This window comes from Homo sapiens, chromosome 20, assembly GCF_000001405.40.
Source record: "Homo sapiens chromosome 20, GRCh38.p14 Primary Assembly".
Classification (NCBI taxonomy): domain Eukaryota; kingdom Metazoa; phylum Chordata; class Mammalia; order Primates; family Hominidae; genus Homo; species Homo sapiens.
The window spans coordinates 31,692,820-31,713,303 of NC_000020.11; the positions used below are offsets into that span (position 1 = coordinate 31,692,820).

The 20,484-nt window shown below is 47.2% G+C and overlaps 1 protein-coding gene and 1 long non-coding RNA gene across 15 annotated transcripts in view, besides 6 other annotated features; one reads left to right on the plus strand and one right to left on the minus strand.

The window, feature by feature from the left end:
* Nucleotides 1–20,484, minus strand: part of BCL2L1 (BCL2 like 1) — a 59,512-nt gene that overhangs the window by 28,368 nt on the left and 10,660 nt on the right. The gene's annotated exons all lie outside the window — the stretch shown is intronic.
* BCL2L1-AS1 (BCL2L1 antisense RNA 1) overlaps nucleotides 1–20,484 on the plus strand; it is a 41,737-nt gene that overhangs the window by 17,712 nt on the left and 3,541 nt on the right. The gene's annotated exons all lie outside the window — the stretch shown is intronic.
* Nucleotides 5,235–6,182: an enhancer, noted in NCBI's record as "H3K27ac-H3K4me1 hESC enhancer chr20:30285857-30286804 (GRCh37/hg19 assembly coordinates)". NCBI's record gives its function as "activates a minimal SCP1, AML or CMV promoter by ChIP-STARR-seq in naive H9 embryonic stem cells {active_cell/tissue: H9 hESC(naive)}" and the evidence as "EXISTENCE:reporter gene assay evidence [ECO:0000049][PMID:30033119]".
* Nucleotides 6,566–6,615: an enhancer, noted in NCBI's record as "active region_17690". NCBI's record gives its function as "activates an Ori minimal core promoter by ATAC-STARR-seq in GM12878 lymphoblastoid cells {active_cell/tissue: GM12878}" and the evidence as "EXISTENCE:reporter gene assay evidence [ECO:0000049][PMID:35858748]".
* Nucleotides 13,106–13,155: an enhancer, noted in NCBI's record as "active region_17691". NCBI's record gives its function as "activates an Ori minimal core promoter by ATAC-STARR-seq in GM12878 lymphoblastoid cells {active_cell/tissue: GM12878}" and the evidence as "EXISTENCE:reporter gene assay evidence [ECO:0000049][PMID:35858748]".
* Nucleotides 13,166–13,265: an enhancer, noted in NCBI's record as "active region_17692". NCBI's record gives its function as "activates an Ori minimal core promoter by ATAC-STARR-seq in GM12878 lymphoblastoid cells {active_cell/tissue: GM12878}" and the evidence as "EXISTENCE:reporter gene assay evidence [ECO:0000049][PMID:35858748]".
* Nucleotides 13,316–13,395: an enhancer, noted in NCBI's record as "active region_17693". NCBI's record gives its function as "activates an Ori minimal core promoter by ATAC-STARR-seq in GM12878 lymphoblastoid cells {active_cell/tissue: GM12878}" and the evidence as "EXISTENCE:reporter gene assay evidence [ECO:0000049][PMID:35858748]".
* Nucleotides 19,953–20,480: an enhancer, noted in NCBI's record as "OCT4-NANOG-H3K27ac-H3K4me1 hESC enhancer chr20:30300575-30301102 (GRCh37/hg19 assembly coordinates)". NCBI's record gives its function as "activates a minimal SCP1, AML or CMV promoter by ChIP-STARR-seq in naive and primed H9 embryonic stem cells {active_cell/tissue: H9 hESC(naive and primed)}" and the evidence as "EXISTENCE:reporter gene assay evidence [ECO:0000049][PMID:30033119]".

The window sequence follows — 20,484 nt, forward strand, 5'->3', positions numbered from 1 at the left end:
AATCACTTTAACCCGGGTGGCAGAGGTTGCAGTAAGCCAAGATCGCACCACACTGCACTACAGCCTGGGCGACAGAGTGAGACTCGGTCTTAAAAAAAAAAAATTAGTCAGGTGTGGTGGCGTGCGCCTGTAGTCCAGCTACTCGGGAGACTGAGGCAGAAGAACCGCTTGAACCCAGGAGGCGGAGGTTGCAGTGAGCTGAGGTCGCACCATAGCACTCCAGCCTGGGCGAGAAAGTGGGACCGTCTCAAAAAAAAAAAACAAAAACAAAAACAAAAAAAAGCATGTAGAAGAATATCCTATATTGTTTAGGAATATATACCTATATATATATAGTAAAACTTAAAAAAAAAAAAAAAAAAAGGTAGCCAGGTGTGGTGGCTCACACCTGTAATCCCAGTGCTTTGAGAAGCTGAGGTAGGAGGATCGCTTGAAGCCAGGAGTTCTAGACCAGCCCAGGCAACATAGTGAGATCCCATCTCTAAAAAAAATAATAATAATAATTAAAAAATTAGCTACTTGGCAGGCTGAGGCAGGAGGATCACTTGAGCCCAGAGGTTTGAGGCTGAAGTGAGGTATGATCATGCCACTGCACTCTAGCCTGGTTGACATGGTAAGATATCACAAAAGAAAACACAGAACTCAGGAGTATGGATGGTGGGGTAGCTGTGATTGGGGAGGGGGTACACAGGGGGCTCTAAGGTACTCACGTTTATTTTTGTTTGTTTTTAGAGACAAGGTCTCCCTCTGTTGCCCACACTGGAGAACAGTGGCGCGATCATAGCTTACTGCAGCCTTAAACTCCTGGGCTCAGGTGATCCCCGACTCAACCTTCTGAGTAGCTGGAGTTATAGGCGTGCACCACCACGCCCAGCTATTTTTTAATTTTAGTTTTTGTAGAGATGGTGGTCTCACTATGTTGCCCAGGCTAGTCTCAAACTTCTGGCCTCAAGCATTCCTCCTACCTCAGCCTCCCAAGTGCTGGGATTACAGGCATAAGCCATCATGCAAGGCAAACATATGTTTGATTATTAATTAATCTGGGTGATGAGTTTACAAGTGATGATTTTCCTATTTTTAAAATTGTACATATGCATTAGATATTCTCTGTTGTATTTATGATAAATTTCTTTAAAAAAAAAAAGTGTACTGAAACAGTGCAATACTCTGAGCCAGAACTGTAACAACTAACTCAACATATGCAGTGTCCGAAGGGTTAAGCCTGTTTCTCTGCCTGTGGGTGGGAGGGCAGGCAGCAGCTGGGGCACAGTGGGAGTTCCTGGCTCCAGCTGGCTCCAGCCTGGATCAAGCACCACGCCCAGGAACTGGCACCTGTAGGGGGGGCTTCTGGACAGGTGGCACCTGTAGCCCTTGGTGACCTGATACATGTGAGAGGCTGGGCCCAGTCAGATGGGTGGTGGGCTTCTGTCAGAGCCCCTCCATCTGGTAAGGAAGTTTGCTGGTGGCAGCTTGGAGCTGGTGAGAAGGGGAAGAGGGTCTAGGACACAGGATGGGGGTGGGGAAGGAAGTGGGTGGGCTGGGCTCAGATACCAAGGGAGGGTGGTGGGATTAGCACCTGCTGAGAATGAGATTAGGTTTCTTGGGAAGGGCTCATCTATCTAATGCTCCCCGAAAGCTGTCTCCCTGTGGCTTTTCTCTGCTGGACAGATGGTGTCTGAGCTGCCTCTTGGAGGGCGGGCTCCTTGAGGGGGTGGTGGAGGTGGAGTGTGACCTGCTGCCTGCTTTCCAGAGGACCTTGAGGCCCTGGGACTTCTTGTCTTCCAACAATAGTAATAAGGATTAGAGCTAACTCTTACTGAAGGTTTACCATATGCCAGGCATTGTCCTAAGCCCTTCATACAAATTACCCTCATTTAGTTTTCACAGCACCCAACTGCCTATCATCTAGACAGTAGGCTTACATTGAAGGAAACTAAGGCTTGGCAAAGTCAAACACTTGCTCAAAGTCAAACAGTAAGCAGGGCCTGGTGGCGTACCTATAATCCCAGGAAGATAGAGGCGGGAGGATCACTTGAGCCCAGGAGTTCGAGACAAGCACAGGCAACATAGTGAGACCTCATCTCAAAACAACAACAAAAACAAAACAGTAAGCAAACTAGGACTTGAATGCAGGCAGTTCAACTCCACAGCCCTAGCAGGAAATCACTATCAGCCAAGGCATCTTCCCCTTATTAAATGGCAGTAAGGACTTTCCAGTTTCTTAAGCCAAAAACCTGGACTCCTTTCTCTCTCACCTCTTATCCAGCAAACATCAGCAAATCCAGTTGGTCCAACCTTCAAATTGTATTGAAGCTCTGACCACTGCTCGCCACTTCCACCACCCATCCACCCTGGTATAAACTGCTGTTATCACCCACCTGGCTTCTCACTGGTCTCCTGCTCCCGCTCTTACCCATAGAGTTTGTTCTCCACATCAGAGAGATCCTTCTAAAACCTGTCACTTCTTTGCTTAAAAATCCTCCATGCCTTTCCACTGCCCTTAAAGCAAGGTCCCATGTGGCCCTACAAGACCTGGCCCCTGGTGACGTCTCAGACCTGATTCCTACCACTGGCTTACTCTACTCTGGCCATACTGGCCAACTTGCTGTACTTTAAATATGTTGGAGAGTCTTTTTTTGTACTTGCTTTATTTTTTAATTTTTTTGAAACAAGGTCTTGCTCTGTCAGCCAGACTAGAGTGGAGGGACAGGATCATAGCTCACTGCAGCCTCAAACTCCTGGATTTAAGCCATCTTCCTGCCTCAGTGTCCCGAGTAGCTAGCTAGGACTACAGACATGCACCACTATGCCCAACTAAACTCTGGCTTTGTCGCTCTGGCTGATCTCAAACTCTCAGCATCAAGTGATCCTCCTGCCTTGGCCTCCCAAAGTGTTGGGATTATAGGCGTGAGCCACTGCATCTGGCTTTTTTTTGTTTTACGGCTTGCTGTTCTCTATGCCTACAACACTATTCCCCCATATATCCGCACAGCTCATGCCCTCACTGCATTCAGATCCAATGTCACTTTATCAGAGAGGCCTTCCTAACTACCCTACCCTTCCTTTTCCCATCCCTAATCCCTTTTCTCTGCTTTATTTTTCCCTATATCACTAAATACTACCTCACATGTTATTTATTTTTTAGAGGTGGGTTGTCACTATGTTGCCCAGGTTGGTCTCGAACTCCTGGGCTCAAGCAATACTCCCACTTCAGCTTCCCAAAGTGCTAGAATTAAAGGCGAGAGCCACCATGCCTAGCCCTGACATGTTAATTTACTTAAAATCTGTCACCCACCTTGGAATGTCCACTGGGTGAGAATAGGGACTTTGGTTCGTTCAGACTGTATGTCCAACCTTTAGCTCAGTCCCTGATATATGACAGGAATGCAATAAATACTTGTTAATGAACAAATGAATGAATGACCAATATCCCTCAGGAAATGACTCAGACTCAAAGGGGAGTAAGGCTGCCTGAGTGTCCTTGGCTTTCACAGCCCTGATGACCTTTGGTACCCCATGGCAGCGGTCAACGTCCTTCCCTATTATGAAATGTCCTGGGTGCATAGCATCACCACTGTGTCATCTACTTGTGCCTGCACCCATGCAAACACACAGGGACACAAAGCTGGAAAAGGGCTGGTTTTGAGAAGGAGTAAGCCTGGGCAGTTGAAACCCAGGTTCGGTGTACTCTAGGGCACTTACTTCTAGGTGACTGTCCTTGCCACTGCTGGCGTACCAAGGTCTCCCAGTCATATGCCCATGCACTGTATACATTTTGGCATTTATTCTCATGAATAAAGTGTCATTAGAGGCCAGACACTGCTGGCTAACGCCTGTAATCGCAGCACTTTGGGACGTCAAGGTGGGAGGACTGCTTGAGCCCAGGAGTTAGAGACCAGTCTGGACAACACAGTGAGACCTTGTCTCTACTAAAAATTTAAAAATAAGCTAGTCGGCCGGGTGTGGTGGCTCACACCTGTAATCCTAGCACTTTGGGAAGCCGAGGCGGGTGGATCATCTGAGGTCAGGAGTTCGAGACGAGCCTGGCCAACGTGGTCAAACTCTGTCTCTACCAAAAATACAAAAATTAGCTGGGCATGGTGGTGGGTGACTGTAATCCCAGCTACTCGGGAGGCTGAGGCAGGAGAATCACTTGAATCCAGGAGGCGGAGGCTGCAGTGAGCCGAGATCAAGCCACTCCAGCCTGGGCAACAGAGCAAGACTCTATCTCAAAAAAAAAAAAAAAAAAAAAATTAGCTAGGCATGATGGCATGTGCCTATATTTTAGCTTCACTATTTTCACATGTAAAATGGATGTCACAGGGCATATGGCTCCTTGGAATATTACATGAGATAACATATTTAAATCATTCAGCAGTATACTTAGCACCCATGGAGTGCTCAATGGATGGTAGCTCTGTAGATCAGCTCTCAATAGAGGGACAGGCCATTAGATAAGCTTGGGGAAGGCTTCCTGGAAAAGACTGGCTTGGTACTGGACTTTGGAGCCTGGATAGAATATACATGAATGTTGGCTGGAAGGAGCCTATTCAAATGGAAGAGGGAAGAGGACAGGCTTTGGATGCTGGCAGTTTGCTGTGTAATCTTTAACAGGTGACTTTCTTTTTTTTTTTTTTAGACGGAGTCTCGCTCTGTCACCCAGGCTGGAGTGCAGTGGCACGATCTTGACTCACTGCAACCTCCACCTCCCGGGTTCATGCCATTCTCCTGCCTTAGCCTCCCAAGTAGCTGGGACTGCAGGTGCCCGCCACCACGCCCGGCTAATTTTTTGTATTTTTAGTAGAGACGGGGTTTCACCGTGTTAGCCAGGATGGTCTCAAACTCCTGACCTCATGATCTGCCCACCTCATCCTCCCAAAGTGCTGGGATTACAGGCGTGAGCCACTGTGCCCGGCCTAACAGGTGACTTTACCTCTCAAAGTCTCAGTTTTCTTCTCTGTAGAATGTGGATACCACTAGAGCATACCTCATAAAACTGTTGGGAGGATTAATGAGGTGCTATACTGATAAGTGGAAACCACTGAACAGAATCCTCAGCATGTGCTGTTGCTGTTTTTTTTTTTTTGAGACGGAGTCTCGCTTTGTTGCCCAGGCTGGAGTGCAGTGGCACAATCTCAGCTCACTGCAATCTCCACCTCCCGGGCTCAAGCAGTTTTCCTGCCTCAGCCTCCTGAGTAACTGGGATGATAGGCACACGCCATCATGCCTGGCTAATTTTTGTATTTTTAGTAGAGATGGGGTTTCACCATGTTGGCCAGGCTAGTCTTAAACTTCTGACCTCAAGTGATCTGCCTGCCTCGGCCTCCCAAAGTGCTGGGATGACAGGCGTGAACCATCGTGCCCAGCCTGGTGATCCTTTAAAAATGTATGTCGGACTGTCATTTCTTGGTTCAAAACCCTCCAATGACTCTTTTTTCTGAGACAGGATTTTGCTCTGTCGCCCAGGTTGGAGTTCTGTGAGATGTGTTCATAGCTCACTGCAGCCATGAACTCCCAGGCTCAAGTGATCCTCCCACCTTAGCCTCCTGAGTAGCCAAGATTATTGGCATGTGCCACCATGCCTGACAAATTTTTTGTAGAGATGGAGGTCTCACTGTACTGCTCAGGCTGATGTTGAATTCCTGGGCTCAAGTGATCCTCCCACCTCAGACTCCCAAAGTTTTGGGATTACAGGCATGAGCTACTGGACCCAGTCGATTTTCCTTCTTTTTTTTTTTGGAGACGGTCTCGCTTTGTCACCTAGGCTGGGGTATAGTGGTGTGAACATGGCTCACTGCAACCTTGACCTCCTGGACTCAAGTGTTTCTCCCATCTCAGCCTCCCGAGTAGCTGGGAATACAGGTGCGAAACACCACACCCGGCTAATTTTTGTATTTTTTTGTAGAGACAGAGTTTCGCCATGTTGCCCAGGCTGGTCTCAAACTCCTAAGCTCAAGCAATCTGCCTGCCTCAGCCTCCTAAAGTGCTCAGATTACAGGCATGAGCCACCACACCTGCCCTTTTTTGCTTTTCAATTAGTGAGTCAAGGGGAGATCTCCAATATATCTCCAATAGTGTGGTGGCTGGTCTGCTCTGAAATGTAAGCAGTTTTTTTTTGTCCCCTTGACCAGACTCTAAAAGTCTTAAGGTCAAAAAGTCCACAAATAACGTTTTGTTTACCCATCCTACAGTGCTAGGCCTAAGCCTCGGACTTAGGCAAAGGAGATCAGAAGGGTCATATGGCTAAATGTAGGTGGACAAGAGGGAGTCGGGGAGGGCCTTCCTGTGAATCCTCCTGCCTCTCAAGGACGCTCTGTTCCCTTAGCTTGAGAAGCCTTGAGGAAAGCTTTTTCCATGAACAAGCTTTTAAAAACCTTTTAGCTCTTTAAAAGCAGCAAGTACCATTCCAGTCATGACCCTGCAGACAGGTGGAACACCCATACTCCAGCCTCATTCTGAAGAGACTTGCAGAGCAGGAAGGAAGGGGTAATGACTTTCAGTTCCAGTAATGTATCTAGAAGCAGCAGCTGATTCAGCTAGATGATGTCACCTTCCCAAACCTCCTGACCAGCAGCTGAGATGGTAAAAGCAGGAAACAGGGGATACTCAGCTGGCTAAGTCCGAACATGCCTCTGGCAAAGGCCTACAGTAACCCCAGGCTCTGGAGGCATCCTCCTGAAGATGAGGAGAAAGAGTCCTCTCAGCTGGGAGTACAGTAGGTGTCCTTCAAGACCCTCAAACCAAGATGCTTCTCCAACTCTCCTTTTGCTAAGCAGCTTTCTGCATATCCTGAACCAACAATCCTTCATTTATTCCAAGAGTGGAGCAGGGGAAAGAAGCCTGGCTTTAGAGCCAGCCCAATCTAGGTCCAAATCCAGGATTCACCACGTAAAGCTGCAGGACCCTGGCATGCAACTTCACTTATCCAAACCTTAGTTTCTTTACTGGAAAAGAAAGTAGGGCTAATGGACCATTTAGCACACAGTCTAGGTGAGGGAATTAAATGAGAAAATGCATGTAGAGTACCTGACATGGGCTAGGTGCTCAATAAATGGTAGTCAACCATTATCCCATTGGATCTCTGCAGAGGAGATTTGAAAGATCACCTCCATCTATAACACAAAAGGAAACAAAGGTACCAACTAGACCCAACAGTGTCAAAGCTGAGTAACTGAGTTGGCCCATGCATATAGTTGCTTCCTAGATATTCCATTACTCAGTTTCATTTTCTGTACAGCATTTAACCCAATCCCTGAAATAATCTTGTTTGTTTCTCGGGCTAGCTGTCTCTCCCATTAAAGTAAGAGTTCTACAAGAGCAATGTCCTTGACCTTATCTTGTTTATCTTAGCATCTTCAGCATGTAGCACAGGGCCTGGCACATAGTTGGTGCTCAATAAACATTTGCCGAATCGCCAAATGAATAGCACCTGGGATGGCCAAAAGCTAAACTGACAATGGCCCCACACTTAACTCCTCCCCTCACTATTAGTTGAAGGCTCTGGCTCCCATTTCAGAAGCTGCCATTGCCACCTGGGAATCAGCAGCCCAACCAGTGGCCAGCATGGGCATTAGTCCCTGGGCACGACCTATCTATTGGGATACCAGGGCTGCCAAGGAGGGCCTTGGAATCCTCCCCCTGGCACTTGAAGATCCTACAAACCTGGTTCTAGCTGACCTTTTTGGCTTTATTACCTAATGAAAGAGACCCCTCCACATATGCCTAAAATTTGACTGCCACTGCCCACGGGTCTCTTCTTGAGAGTTGGTCTCAGCCTGCAAATCTTAACCCACATTGACTCTCCTACTGGGAGCTACAGCCCCTCTTTTCTCCGCTTTGTGGTAAGGCTCGGTGTAAACCTCACCTCTTCTGTGAAGTCCTTCCCTCATTTGGCATTTAGCATTTATTGTTGGCTTTTACAAGATCTCCTTTCATGTATATTATGTCTTTTCTCTCTAATTCAACTGGAAGTATCTTGAGAGCAGAACTGGGTTTCCAATGGCAATATCTCAATTAATAAACCTTCTACAGAAAAGACTCCTTGAAACAAAGTTAGCTAGGTCCAGAGAGGACTGGAGAGGGGTCTAGGCTCCTCCCTGCTGGACCAGCCCCTTTGGCAAAAAGAGGAGATCGTGTTGCCTCAATCCAGGAGCCCAGCTGATGAGGCAGGAAGGGAGCCAGCAAATCCTAGACTATTAGGTGCAGTCTGGGACAATCCCAAGGTCATCTATGTAATTAGATTTTTTTTTTTTGGAGACGGAGTCTTGCTCTGTCGCCAGGCCGGAGTGCAGTGGTGTGATCTCAGCTCACTGCAACCTCCGCCTCCTGGGTTCAAGCGATTCTCCTGCCTCAGCCTCCTGAGTAGCTGGGATTACAGGCACGCGCCACCACACCTGGCTAATTTTTTGTATTTTAGCAGAGACAGGGTTTCACCATGTTGGCCAAGACGGTCTTGATCTCCTGACCTCATGATCTGCCCACCTTGCCCTCCCAAAGTGCTGGGATTACAGGCGTGAGCCACCACGCCCGGCCTGTAGTTAGATTTTTAAAAAACCATCATTTTAAATGAATCTGGGCAATATTTAGTTATAAAGAATGGCATAAAAACTGCTCAGTTCAAAGGACTTTTGTAACATACATTTGTGTGAACTAATTTTACTTTTGGCTCGTCTTCTTACCCATATTTTCCTTTCACCCGACTCCCTTAGCTACATTATCCTTTTGGTTGTATGAATTTTCCTAAGTTGCTTCCAACTCTTTGTAAAACAGAGCAAGGTTCCAATAAAAAATAAGATTGGTCCAGTTTTCTTTTAAGTGGTACAGTGGTATATATAAAAAATGATGTTCCAAACAACTCATTATAACAATTAAGAATAAGTGGCAAAAATAATGCATGTAAATCACTGAATACAGTGCTTGGCACTTAATGAGCATTCAAAAGTAGGATGAAAGAACACTATTAATTCTCATTAGCTTCTCTTCTCTGGGCCTCAGTTTTTTCATGTCTTAGGTTTTGTTCATTTGTTTAATAATTTATTCAAAAAGTATTCACTGAATGTTTACTACCTGCAAAGAACAGCTGCAGACACTGGAGATACAATGATGAACAAACCAAACGCCCTATAATCATGGGGCTTATATTCTAATAGAAGAGACAGACAAAAACAAGTACACAAACAAAAAGAAAATTCCAGGTAGAGGCTGTTGCTATGACAAAACTACAAGAAGACTGGAGAGGGATTTAGAAATAGCATGGCTACTTTAAACTGAAGGTCAAGGAAAGTCTCTCAGAGGAGGTGACCAGCAAGCTGAACCAAATGTAGGCCTCAGAAAGGAAATACTAGGGGCAGAACATTTCAGGCAGAGAAAAGAGCAACTACAAAGGCCCTTGGGCAGGAAGAAGTTATGCCAGGATCCAGAAGCAGCAAGGAACCCATGCGGCTTGAGTGGAGTAAGGGAGAGACAGAATGATGGAGGGGCAGCCAGGACCAGATCACACAGGCCTCAGAGGTTGGTAAGAAGTCTGGGTTTTGCTGGGTGCAGTGGATCACACCTGTAATCCCAGCACTTTGGGAGGCTGAGGTGGGCAGATCACGAGGTCAGGAGTTCGAGACCAGCCTGGACATCATGGTGAAACCCCATCTCTACTAAAAATACAAAAATTAGCTGGGCGTGATGGCAGGTGCCTTTATTTTTTTATTTTTATTTTTTGAGATGGAGTTTTGCTCTTGTTGCCCAGGGTGGAGTGCAATGGTGCGATCTTGGCTCAACACAACCTCCGCCTCCCAGGTTCAAGTGATTCTCCTGCCTCAGCCTCCTGAGTAGCTGAGATTACAGGCATGTGCCACCAAGCCTGGCTAATTTTGTATTTTTAGTAGAGACGGGTTTCTCCATGTTGGTCAGGCTGGTCTCGAACCCCCAACCTCAGGTGATCCACCCGCCTCAGCCTCCCAAAGTGCTGGGATTACAGGGGTGAGCCATCGTGCCCGGCCAGTGGGCACCTTTAATCCCAGCTACTCAGGAGTTTGAGGCAGGAGAACCGCTTGAACCCGGGAGGCGGAGGTTGCAGTGAGCCGAAATGACACTTACTGCACTCCAGCCTGGGCGACAGGGCAAGACTCCATCTCAAAAAAAAAAAAAAAAGTCTGGGTTTTATTCTAACTACAGTGGAAGACCACTTGGAGGGTTGTAAACAAAAATGCAATAAGATCTGAACTTGGTTTTTATTTTATTAAATTTTTTGAGACAGAGTTTTGCTCTTGTTGCCCAGGCTGGAGTGCAATGGTGCAATCTTGGCTCACTGCAACCTCCACCTCCTGGGTTCAAGTGATTCTCCTGCCTCAGCCTCCCAGGTAGCTGGCATCACAGGCATGAGCCACCATGCCCGGCTAATTTTGTATTTTTAGTAGAGATGGGGTTTTACCACGTTGGTCAGGCTGGTCTCGAACTCATTACCTCAGGTGATCACCCGCCTTGGTGTCCCAATGTGCTGGGATTACAGATGTGAGCCACTGCTCCTGGCTAATTTTTTGTATTTTTAGTAGAGACGGGGTTGCATCATGTTGGCCAGGCTGGTCTCGAACTCCTGACCTCAGGTGATCCACCTGCTTTGGCCTCCCAAAATGCTGGGATTACAGGTGTGAGCCACCATGCCTGGCCTAAACTTGGTGGTTGTTTTTTTTTTTTTTTGAGACAAGAGTCTCACTCTGTTGCCCAGGCTGGCGTGCAGTGGTGCAATCTCGGCTCACTGCAACCTCCGCCTCCTGGGTTCAAGTGATTCTCCTGCCTCAGCCTCCCGAGTAGCTGAGAATACAGTCATGCACCACCACACCCGGCTAATTTTTTTATTTTCAGTAGAGATGGGGTTTCACTGTGTTGGCCAGGCTGGTCTGGAACTCCTGATCTCAGGTGATTCGCCTGTCTTGGCCTCCCAAAGTGCTGGGATTATAGGCATGAGCCACTGAGCCCAGCCCTGAACTTGTTTTTTTTTTTTTTTTGAGACGAGTATTGCTCTGTCACCCAGGCTGGAGTGCAGTGGTGCGATCTTGGCTCATTGCAACCTCTGCCTCCCAGGTTCAAGCGATTCTCCTGCCTCAGCCTCCCAAGTAGCCGGGACTATAGGCCCACGCCACCACACCTGGCTAATTTTTGTAATTTTAGTAGAGACGGGGTTTCGCCATATTGGTCAGGCTGGTATCGAACTCCTGACCTTAGTTGATCCACTCGGCTTGGCCTCCCAAAGTGCTGGGATTACAGGCATGAGCCACTGCACCCGGCCCTAAACCTTTTTTTTTTTTTTTTTGAGACGGAGTCTCTCCCTGTCACCTAGGCTGGAGTGCAGTGGCGCGATCTCAGCTCACTGCAACCTATGCCTCCCAGGTTCAAGCGATTCTTCTGCCTCAGCCTCCTGAGTAGCTGGGATTACAGGCGTGCACCACACCCGGCTAATTTTTGTATTTTTAGCAGAGACGGGGTTTCCACCACCTTAGCCAGGCTGGTCTTGAACTCCCGACCTGATGATCCACCCACCTCGGCCTCCCAAAGTGCTGAGATTACAGGCATGAGCCACCGCGCCCAGCCTGAACTTGGTTTTTAAAAGACCACTTTGGCTGGAGTATTGGGCAAGAGTGATTTTCTAAGGTCCCTTCCCAGCTTTTTCCCTGTCATTCTAGGCTGCCATGAACTGGTTGCCTGAGCCATAAAGACACAGTTTCTGGATTAGAGTGACTGAAGAGCTTAGAGTGGTTCCTTGCCCTTGGCCGGAGTAGGGAATCTGTGTCACCTTGTTCTGCAGGAGATGGAGGAAGTGACTCCCTCAGGGAGGGGTGGGAATCCCATCTTGGAAAACATCCTCAAACCACCTGTATTGTTTCTGCCTCCTGTGTGGAAGTTTCTGCCAATGACACAGTGCTCTCTGGAATGCACCCCCCCAACGCACACACCCAATCTTCCGTTTACACAGGCATAGCTGTACTTTGCATTCCTCCTAGGATTTAGTTCAAAGCTAGCCTACAGGAACTGGTCGATAAAGAGTTACTGATTGATTACTAAAGAAAGAGAATATTCTCAGCCATTAAGCAAATATTAATGAGTTTTATGAGTATTATGTTGGTCTCTGGGGGTGCAAGGTGATTAAATGGGTTTCTAGTCTTCACTGAGCTCAGAATTCAGTGGATAGACCAAAAACTACAGACAACTACAATGCTGGATACAATAGTTATAACAGCAACATTTACTAGGGCCTTCCTTATCCAGGTAGGACAAGTTGGCTTTGGAGCCAGACTACCTGGGTTCAAATCATGGTTTTACCACTTACTCGCTGTGCATCTTTGAACAACTTTCTTAACTTCTCTATAGGAATAATAAGAGAACCTACCTGAGTGGTACTATTTTGAGAATTCAATGAACTATCTCATATAAAACACTTAAGTGCAAGTGCTCATTGTTAAATATTACTAAAATTACCTTAATACCTGCACCATATGATCTTACATACATTCTTACAAAAGGCTCTTAAATCCTTACAAAAACCCTATGAAGTATTATTATTATCCCCATTTTTCAGATAGGGGGACTGAGGCTCAGAAATGGAAAGGAATGCACCCAAAATCTAACAGCTGATATGTAATAGAGACCAGATTCAAACTCAACTCTGTCTGATTCCAGAGCCCATACTTCCAATTAACAAAATGATCCCCTTTTCATAAAGAGCCCCAGCACAGTGCCTAACACACAGCAGAGACTTTATAAAGGGAGCTATGGTTATTATGTCATTGTCCCTGGAGTTTCCAGCTGTAGATGCTGTAGAACCCAGAGGAGGGGGCCTCTCTTTCACCCTAAAGGGATCTGAGAAGGGTTTAAAGGTGCTGGGTGCCAACTACAGGCTTTGCTTGGGAGTCCCAAAGGTTTCCCTCACTGGGGCTTGGGATACTAATATGGAACCTACACTAGCACCACTAAATCAGACCCAGAAAGTTCCCCCAGGTGTCCAAACACCTGCATGAACAAGCAGGCAGTTTCCTCTAGGTTGACTTCTTGTCTGGCCCTACACATCTCTCAGTTTCATCACTCAGCCACCAGCCCTGGGTCTCATGTATGCACCTGCTGCTTGACCCAGTCCCAGGAGACACTGAGCCTTAGAATTGGGCTCCTTCTCTGGACCTTGCCCCAAAGGCTATTTCTGAGTGACTCCCTGGGACTTCCCTGACATGGTAACCCCTAGGGCTCCAACTGAACATGGGTGCTGTGAGCAAGGGGAAATTCTTCTGAGTAGCAGATGGAGAGTGGGTAGAACAAGAGGCAGTTGTTCTGGATCAGAGATAAGCATGGGGTGAGAACCATAGTACACTGGATTTTATGTTTAAGCAGCACTGATCCTCGATAGTTCAGAACTCCCGCACTGAAGTCCAGCGTAGGCAGGTAAGGACAACCTGGAGCCAGGCATTAATACTCACTTCTACTTCCCATCTGAGTCATATTCAGAGTCTGGCCTTGCCTGGTACTTTGACTGCAGAAGGCAACCCATGGCTAAATCAAGGCACCTCAAGCCTCATAGAGAAAAGGGAAAGACTCAGCATTTGCTGAGCTTTTACTCTGCACTAGGCAATGTGTAAGTGCACTTTACATGTACCATTAATTATTAGGAATGTTTGTTAATCCAGTCACTAAACACTCAGCCACCAAGTACTAGGCCCAGCAGTAGCTGTTAAGAGTGAATAAGACATAGTTTTTATCCTCAGTAAGCTCAGAGCACCTCGTTTAGTCTTTCTCCCAACAACCCTCTGAAATGAGTATTACTTCCACTTTATAGATCTTCAGGTTTACAGAGGGAAGTAACTTGTCCAAATTCATGAAGCCAGTTAAGTGATAAGATATTGCTTCTACTCAAAAAATGCTTGTTGACTGAATGAATGAATGAATGACACAGCTATGGCTGTGACTTTAGTCAAGGAGTAGCAACAAGACCAAATATTTATAGTTCTCAAAGTGCTTTTTCATCTATCATCTCTTTGGGCCTCCCTGCTAGCCCATGAGGGAGGCAAGGCGGGTGTTATCTTTCTTCAACATATGAGGCAACAGGCAGAGCTTGGGCAAGAGGCTTGAGGCCACAGAGCAAACAAGGAGTGAGTGGGGCCATCCTGGAAAAACTCCAGAGTTCCCACAATGCCATGTTTAATCATTCAAACCCATGTCAAGCACCTACTGTGTGCCAGGCATGCTCCTACCCACTTTAAATACTTAACTCATTAAGTCTTCCACTCAGTCAACAAACAAGGAGGACCCTGGGAAGATAAAACAAAATATGCCCCATTGCCAAACGCCTAGTCAACAACACTGGCCAAACCTCTACTGTGTACAAGGTATGACTTGGGCCTTGTAGAGGAGGTAGGGGACAAGGTTGTGAGCCAAGGCCCCAAGCTTCAGGTACCTTAAAATCTCTAAACTCTTGGTCCAAAGATATCCACATATTCTGTCAGCCTGAAAGTTCACTCCTGGAGAGTAGATCCAATAGCAATGACAACAATTTGTTTACCAGTGATTGCAATGTGACAATAACAGTAATAATAGTAGCTTGTTATACTAAGTAATTACTATATGCTGGGCTCCTTGGTAAGTGCTCCATGTATCTTTTCAACTATTTTCATGCTCTCAAGAGTGTTTCAAGAAAAGCGCTGTAGGCCGGGCATGGTGGCTCACACCTGTAATCCTAGCAGTTTGGGAGGCTGAGGCGGACAGATCACCTGAGGTCAGGAGTTCGAGACCAGCCTGATCAACATGGAGAAACCCCGTCTCTACTAAAAAAACAAAATTAGCTGGGCGTGGTGGCGCATGCCTGTAATCCCAGCTACTCGGGAGGCTGAGGCAGGAGAATCACTTGAACCTGGGAGGCGAAGGTTGTGGTGAGCCGAGGTGGCACCATTGCACTCCAGCCTGGGCAACAAGAGCGAAACTCTGTCTCAAAAAAAAAAAAAAAAAAGGAAAAAAGAAAAGCACTGTATATTGTTACCTCTTTTCCATACATGAGGAAACTAAGGCTGGGAAAGATTAAGTATTTGCCAAGGATAACTATTAAGCAAGTGAGACTCACCAACTCAACAACGGTTTGTCAAATTTCGTACCTGACTCTTAACAACGATGGAATTTCTCCCAAGGAGGCAAGGCAGACACCAGGAATACCAGGAGCAGCTGCTGCCTGAGAGAGTGGGGGGCCTCCAGAGCCCCCAGAAGAGTCTTCCTAACCTCTTTCCATCAGGTTTTAACATCACACTGAGATGGGGAGGTAAGGAAAGAATGGTTAGGTGTGCTCAATCTATCCTTAGGGCAACAAGGGTCTGGCCCTCTTTGTTGACCCTCAAGGGAAGAAGTTTGTGACTTCCCATTTGTCACTCACCAACCCTCTAGAGAGAAACAGAAGGGGGCAAGGGCATGGGAGTATTTTCTCCCTGGGGTTGGGGGGCACACACAAGGGAAGAAGCAGCAGCCTTACTGGCTCTTTCCTCCCCTGGGCAAGAAGCCTGTACATGTGATACAGTGTATGTCATTCACATGGAACCCCCTTGGGGAAATGCCAAGGTACCTTTTGGACCCAAGAAGCCTCAGAGAGGAGAGACTGGCAAAGCCCTGAACTGCAAGCTAAGCTGACAATTTCTAAGCATTGTAACTAGGTCATCAGGTTCCTGGAGAAGCCAGCTGTGGCTGGGGGATGGGGAGGAAAATTTTGCAGCCTACCAAGATCCCTACTTCCCTTTAGGCCCCACCCTCCCTGAAATCTGCACCTGCTCCCAAACTGACCCCTCCCCCCAGCTGAGCCCAGCTGTCAACGGCTCCCAATGCCCCGCCCTGCCTTCCTTAGGCCAGAACCATGGGGGCCTCTTGGGCAGGAGGTACCTGATTGCCACCTGAGCTTTGCAGAGAAGGAGCTGTGGGGCAGGGAAGGATTGGCCTCTCCTAGAAGATATTTCTTGCTCCACCAGGGCAGCAAGAAAGTTAGGCCCCTTTGGGCCTACCTAGGGTACCCTTCCTGGCATTGTCACTGCAGGTGGCAGGAGACAGGTGATGTTTACCCTGCTGAGGCCAGAGTTGCCAAAAGGCTTCAATCAATCCTTTGAATCTGCACCTGGCCCTGAGTCCCAAAATAACAACCAGGGCAGCTTACCTGATCTGCAGGTTGCAGGTGCCTCTGGCTTTTCTCTCCCTGCAGCTCTGCCTGCTGAGCCCTGGCTGGCAAGAGATTCTTTTTCTTAGGGGTTACTGAGACCTAACTGCATCCCACAGGTGCTCTGGGCCTCTCCCCATTAGGCCCACCTCTACCATCAACCATCCCTCTGTCCAGAGGCCTCTGTCATCAGCCACCTGGTTTCTTCCCTGACCAACTTTATTGCTGACACAGACCATCTTTGGCTCTAGCCAGTCTGCCTCCTCATGATCTCTCAAATGCTTCATACATACTCCACCCTCCAGTTCTGTCTGGGTGGTTCTTACCCGTCTGGCCTGCTCGTGTGTGTGTGTGCGCGCGTGCACGCGTGTGTAACTAGCCTGATCTTTTTGGTGTGTGTGTGTGTGGCAGAGTCTCCCTCTGTCGCCCAAGCTGGAGTGCAATGGCATGATTTCAGCTCACTGCAACCTCCATTTCCCGGCCTCAAGTGATTCTCCTGACTCAGCCTCCCAAGTAGCTGGGATTACAGGCGCCCGCCACCACACCCTGCTAATTTTTGTATTTTTAGAAGAGACGAGCCGGGTGCGGTGGCTCATGCCTGTAATCCCAGTGCTTTGGGAGGCTGAGGCGGGTGGATCACGAGGTCAGGAGATCGAGACCATCCTGGCTAACACGGTGAAACCCCGTCTCTACTAAAAATACAAAAAAAATTAGCCGGGCCTGGTGGCGGGCACCTGTAGTCCCAGCTACCCGGGAGGCTGAGGCAGGAGAATGGCGTCAACCTGGGAGGCGGAGCTTGCAGTGAGCCGAGATCGTGCCACTGCACTCCAGCCTGGGCAACTGAGCAAGAGCAAGACTCCATCTCAAAAAAAAAAAAAAAAAAAAAAAAAAGAAGAGACAAGGTTTTGTCATATTGGCCAGGCCAGCCTCGAACTCCTGATCTCAAGTGATCCACCTGCCTCAGTCTCCCAAAGTGCTGAGGTTACAGGTGTGAGCCACCACGCCCAGCCACAGCCTGCTCTTGTTACATTCTTTTCACCTATTTAAACCCATCATGGTCCACATCTTCCTAAGACATAACAATGCCTAACATTGACTGAGTATATCAGACACCGTGTGAGGTGGTCTACACAGTCACTTATTCAACAAATATTTGCTAAGTGCCTCCTATGTACCAAGCACTCTGCTAGATGCTGGGGATGAAAGACAGGATAAAGCCCGTGTACTCCGAGAGCTTATGTTTTACTACAGGAGACAGATGGTAAACATGTAAACATGGCGACCTCTAGGGAGGTGATATCTGAGTTGATACCTGAATGATAAGAAGAGAGAGAGCCCTGATCAGATCCATAGGATGAGTGATACAGGCAGAGGAAAAACAGCAAGCCTATAAGGAAGAGATTACTATCATCTTCATTAAGAGATTAGTATTATCTCCATTTACAGACCGGGAAACTGAGGCCTCAGTGGAAATTGTACAAAGCTACGGTGCTGAGAAAGCTATGATTATTTAAGCTGTCAGTGACCTCTCTCCTTCCTAACCCTTTCCACTGTTGATGCAGAAGACAGTCTGGATTGGCAATGCAGTTGGCTAGGGAAAGGGTGCAGGTTGATGATACAGGCTGAGGGTGGAGGCCTCTGGGCCCAGTAATCAACTGGGTAGCTGATGGTGGAAGCTGGCCCATTTGGCAGAGGCCCAGGGCCCAGCAATGCAGTCAGGTGGGCTCAACTTCTTCCACTTTTGGTGTTTACTCTACAGGTTTGGCACAGTTTGCCTCAAGCCATTCACCAAGTGTTTGAGGTCTATTCCTACTGCTTCAAATGAGTTTGCTTCCTTAGGGGCAGAAACTTTTTTTGTAGCCTAACCTGTATCTAATAATAACCCTTCATGTTCATTGAGCAGGCCCTGGCTGAGTCCTCACCCAACCGCGGGCCCTGAGCCAGGTAGTCAGGGTAAAATAAGCCAGTCTGGGCTTGTAAGAAGCAATGACGCTTATAGGCTTTTGCATCAGACACATCTGAGTATAAGACCCAGCTCTGCCTCTTAGAAGATCTGTTACTGTGGACACATTAGGGAGCCTCTCTGAACCCTAGATTCTCCATCTTCACAGGAGAGCATTTGTGAGAACCAAGTAAGATGATTATATTGAGGGGATAAACACAGCACCTGGCACAGAGCAAGTAACTACTCAACCCATAGTATCTGTTATTATTACCAAAAAACACACTTACATTTCACTTTCTCATTCATGCCTCACTTACTCTGGTGGCTTGGCATTATTCTCTCAGGCTTATGGATGAGAATTTGAAGCTGATTTGCTTTGTGTTATGCCACCAGCAAGGAGTCAAGCTGTCTCAAATGTGAGGCCAGAGTTTTGTCTGTGTATGTGTTGAAGGTGATTAATACATATCAACTATAATGAATCTTGCCTGGTGTGTCTGGCAGCTGAGGAGAAGGATGGATGGCACATGTAGACTGATTCAGATGGCAGAGGGACACCAGCAAGACCCAAGGTGTGGAGTATGGAAACAGACCATTGAGGGATGGGACTCAGTCTCAGTTACCACAATATCCACAGTATCACTAGCATTTAGCACATTACAAAGCATTTGTCAATATTTGCTGATTTAACAAAAGAAATGAAACTCCAAGGACAGCTCCAAGCCACACATCCAGCTTTAGGAGAGGCAGACAGTATTGATAATACTGTGTTAAAAGCCAGAACATGAATTCTAAGTCTGATGCTGCCATTTACTGTGGGACAAGACCCCTTATCTTAGTTTCCCCTCTGGAAACAGGGCTGAACATACCCACCTCTCCTACTTCACTGGGAAATAACTTATAAAAGGAGTTTGGTAAATTGAAAGTATTATCATGCACATAAAAAGAATAATCATGACAATACAGACTACTAAGACAGTAGAGTGTGAATCCCAGCTCTTCTTGGTACTAGCCTGTGAAGCTCTGGGTATATCACTTTTCTCTGAGCCTCAATTTTCTCAACCATAAAATGAAGGTAACAACACCTACTTTGCAAGATTTTTAAGGACTGGAGATAAAAAGGACAGGCTTCAGAGTAAGAGAGACCTGGTTTCAAATGCTGACTCTGCCTCTGGCTAACTATAAGCCCTCCCAAATCTCAGTGCCTATAACGATAAGGTTGTTGGGATAGTAACAAAAACAGCGTCACTAAAGGCTGTCACATAGTGAGCACTGGATTAATGCCAGCAGTCACCTAGACAATAGCGCACTGGACGAGGGAACACAGTGGAGCGTTTAAAAGGGGGAGGTTGGAAGCTACCCTCCCAGGCTTTGCCTCTTACTAACTGTGCTACTTTGCATAAATTGCTTAACCTCTCTGTACCTCAGTTTCCTCATGTGTGAAACAGGGATAAAAGAACCTACTTCAGAGTGCTGCTGTGAGAATGAAATCTATTAATACATGTAAAGCACTTTGAACAATGGCTGGCATAGAGTAAGCACTCAATAAGTGTTAGATACTATTAATAGTAATGTTAACAATAATATTAATCACCAACTGGAGTAAGAGGGAGGGACTGTTTATCCTGGGACATGGGTGTCCCATGAAATAATTACAGAGAAGTCTCAGCAGCTGTTTGTAGGCAAGTTTTTAGCCTCGAAGACTCTATGGAAAGGACACGAGGCTGGGGGCTCCTGAGCAAATATCCCAGTCCCACTGACCAGGAGGCCAGTCTCTAGGGAAGCGAGTCAGGCTCCTTGGAAGGGACACTATGTTCCTATCCCTGCCTGACTCGGGGGAACAAAGGCACGTGTGTATGTGTGTGTGGCCAGGGAGGAGGGAGGGGAATGTTTCCCTTTCAAGAGAGGAACAAAGGATCTGAGGCATAGTTGAGTGCGTTCCAATCCCCTCCCAGGCCAGCTCCCATTCCTCAGATGATTGTCCAACAAGGTTTTCAACCTTCTAGCTTCCTCCTCAAAGGTGACTGGGGGAGGGGAAGGCAGGCTCTGTTTCACTCCACCCTTTATCATCAATTTCCAAGAGGCAGGATTTATATGTGCCAAACCTCAAGTTATCTCTTAAGAATCCCATCCTATGCAGGGGTGGGGTGGAATCTCCTAGGGGAACTCAGGGTTAATGGATGACACAGGGCACCGCAAGCAACAGGTTTAATGCATCTCCAGGGGAAGTCCAGGACTGAAACTGCTAATGCGTGATGGAGCCAAGGAGAGAACCCAGGAATTCTAACTGACCTCCCTCACAGCCTAGCCTAGGGTAGGGGGTAATGGCCTGGCAGAACCAAGTAGAAAGGCATTTTCTAAATCTTGAAGGGATGATCACAGCTGG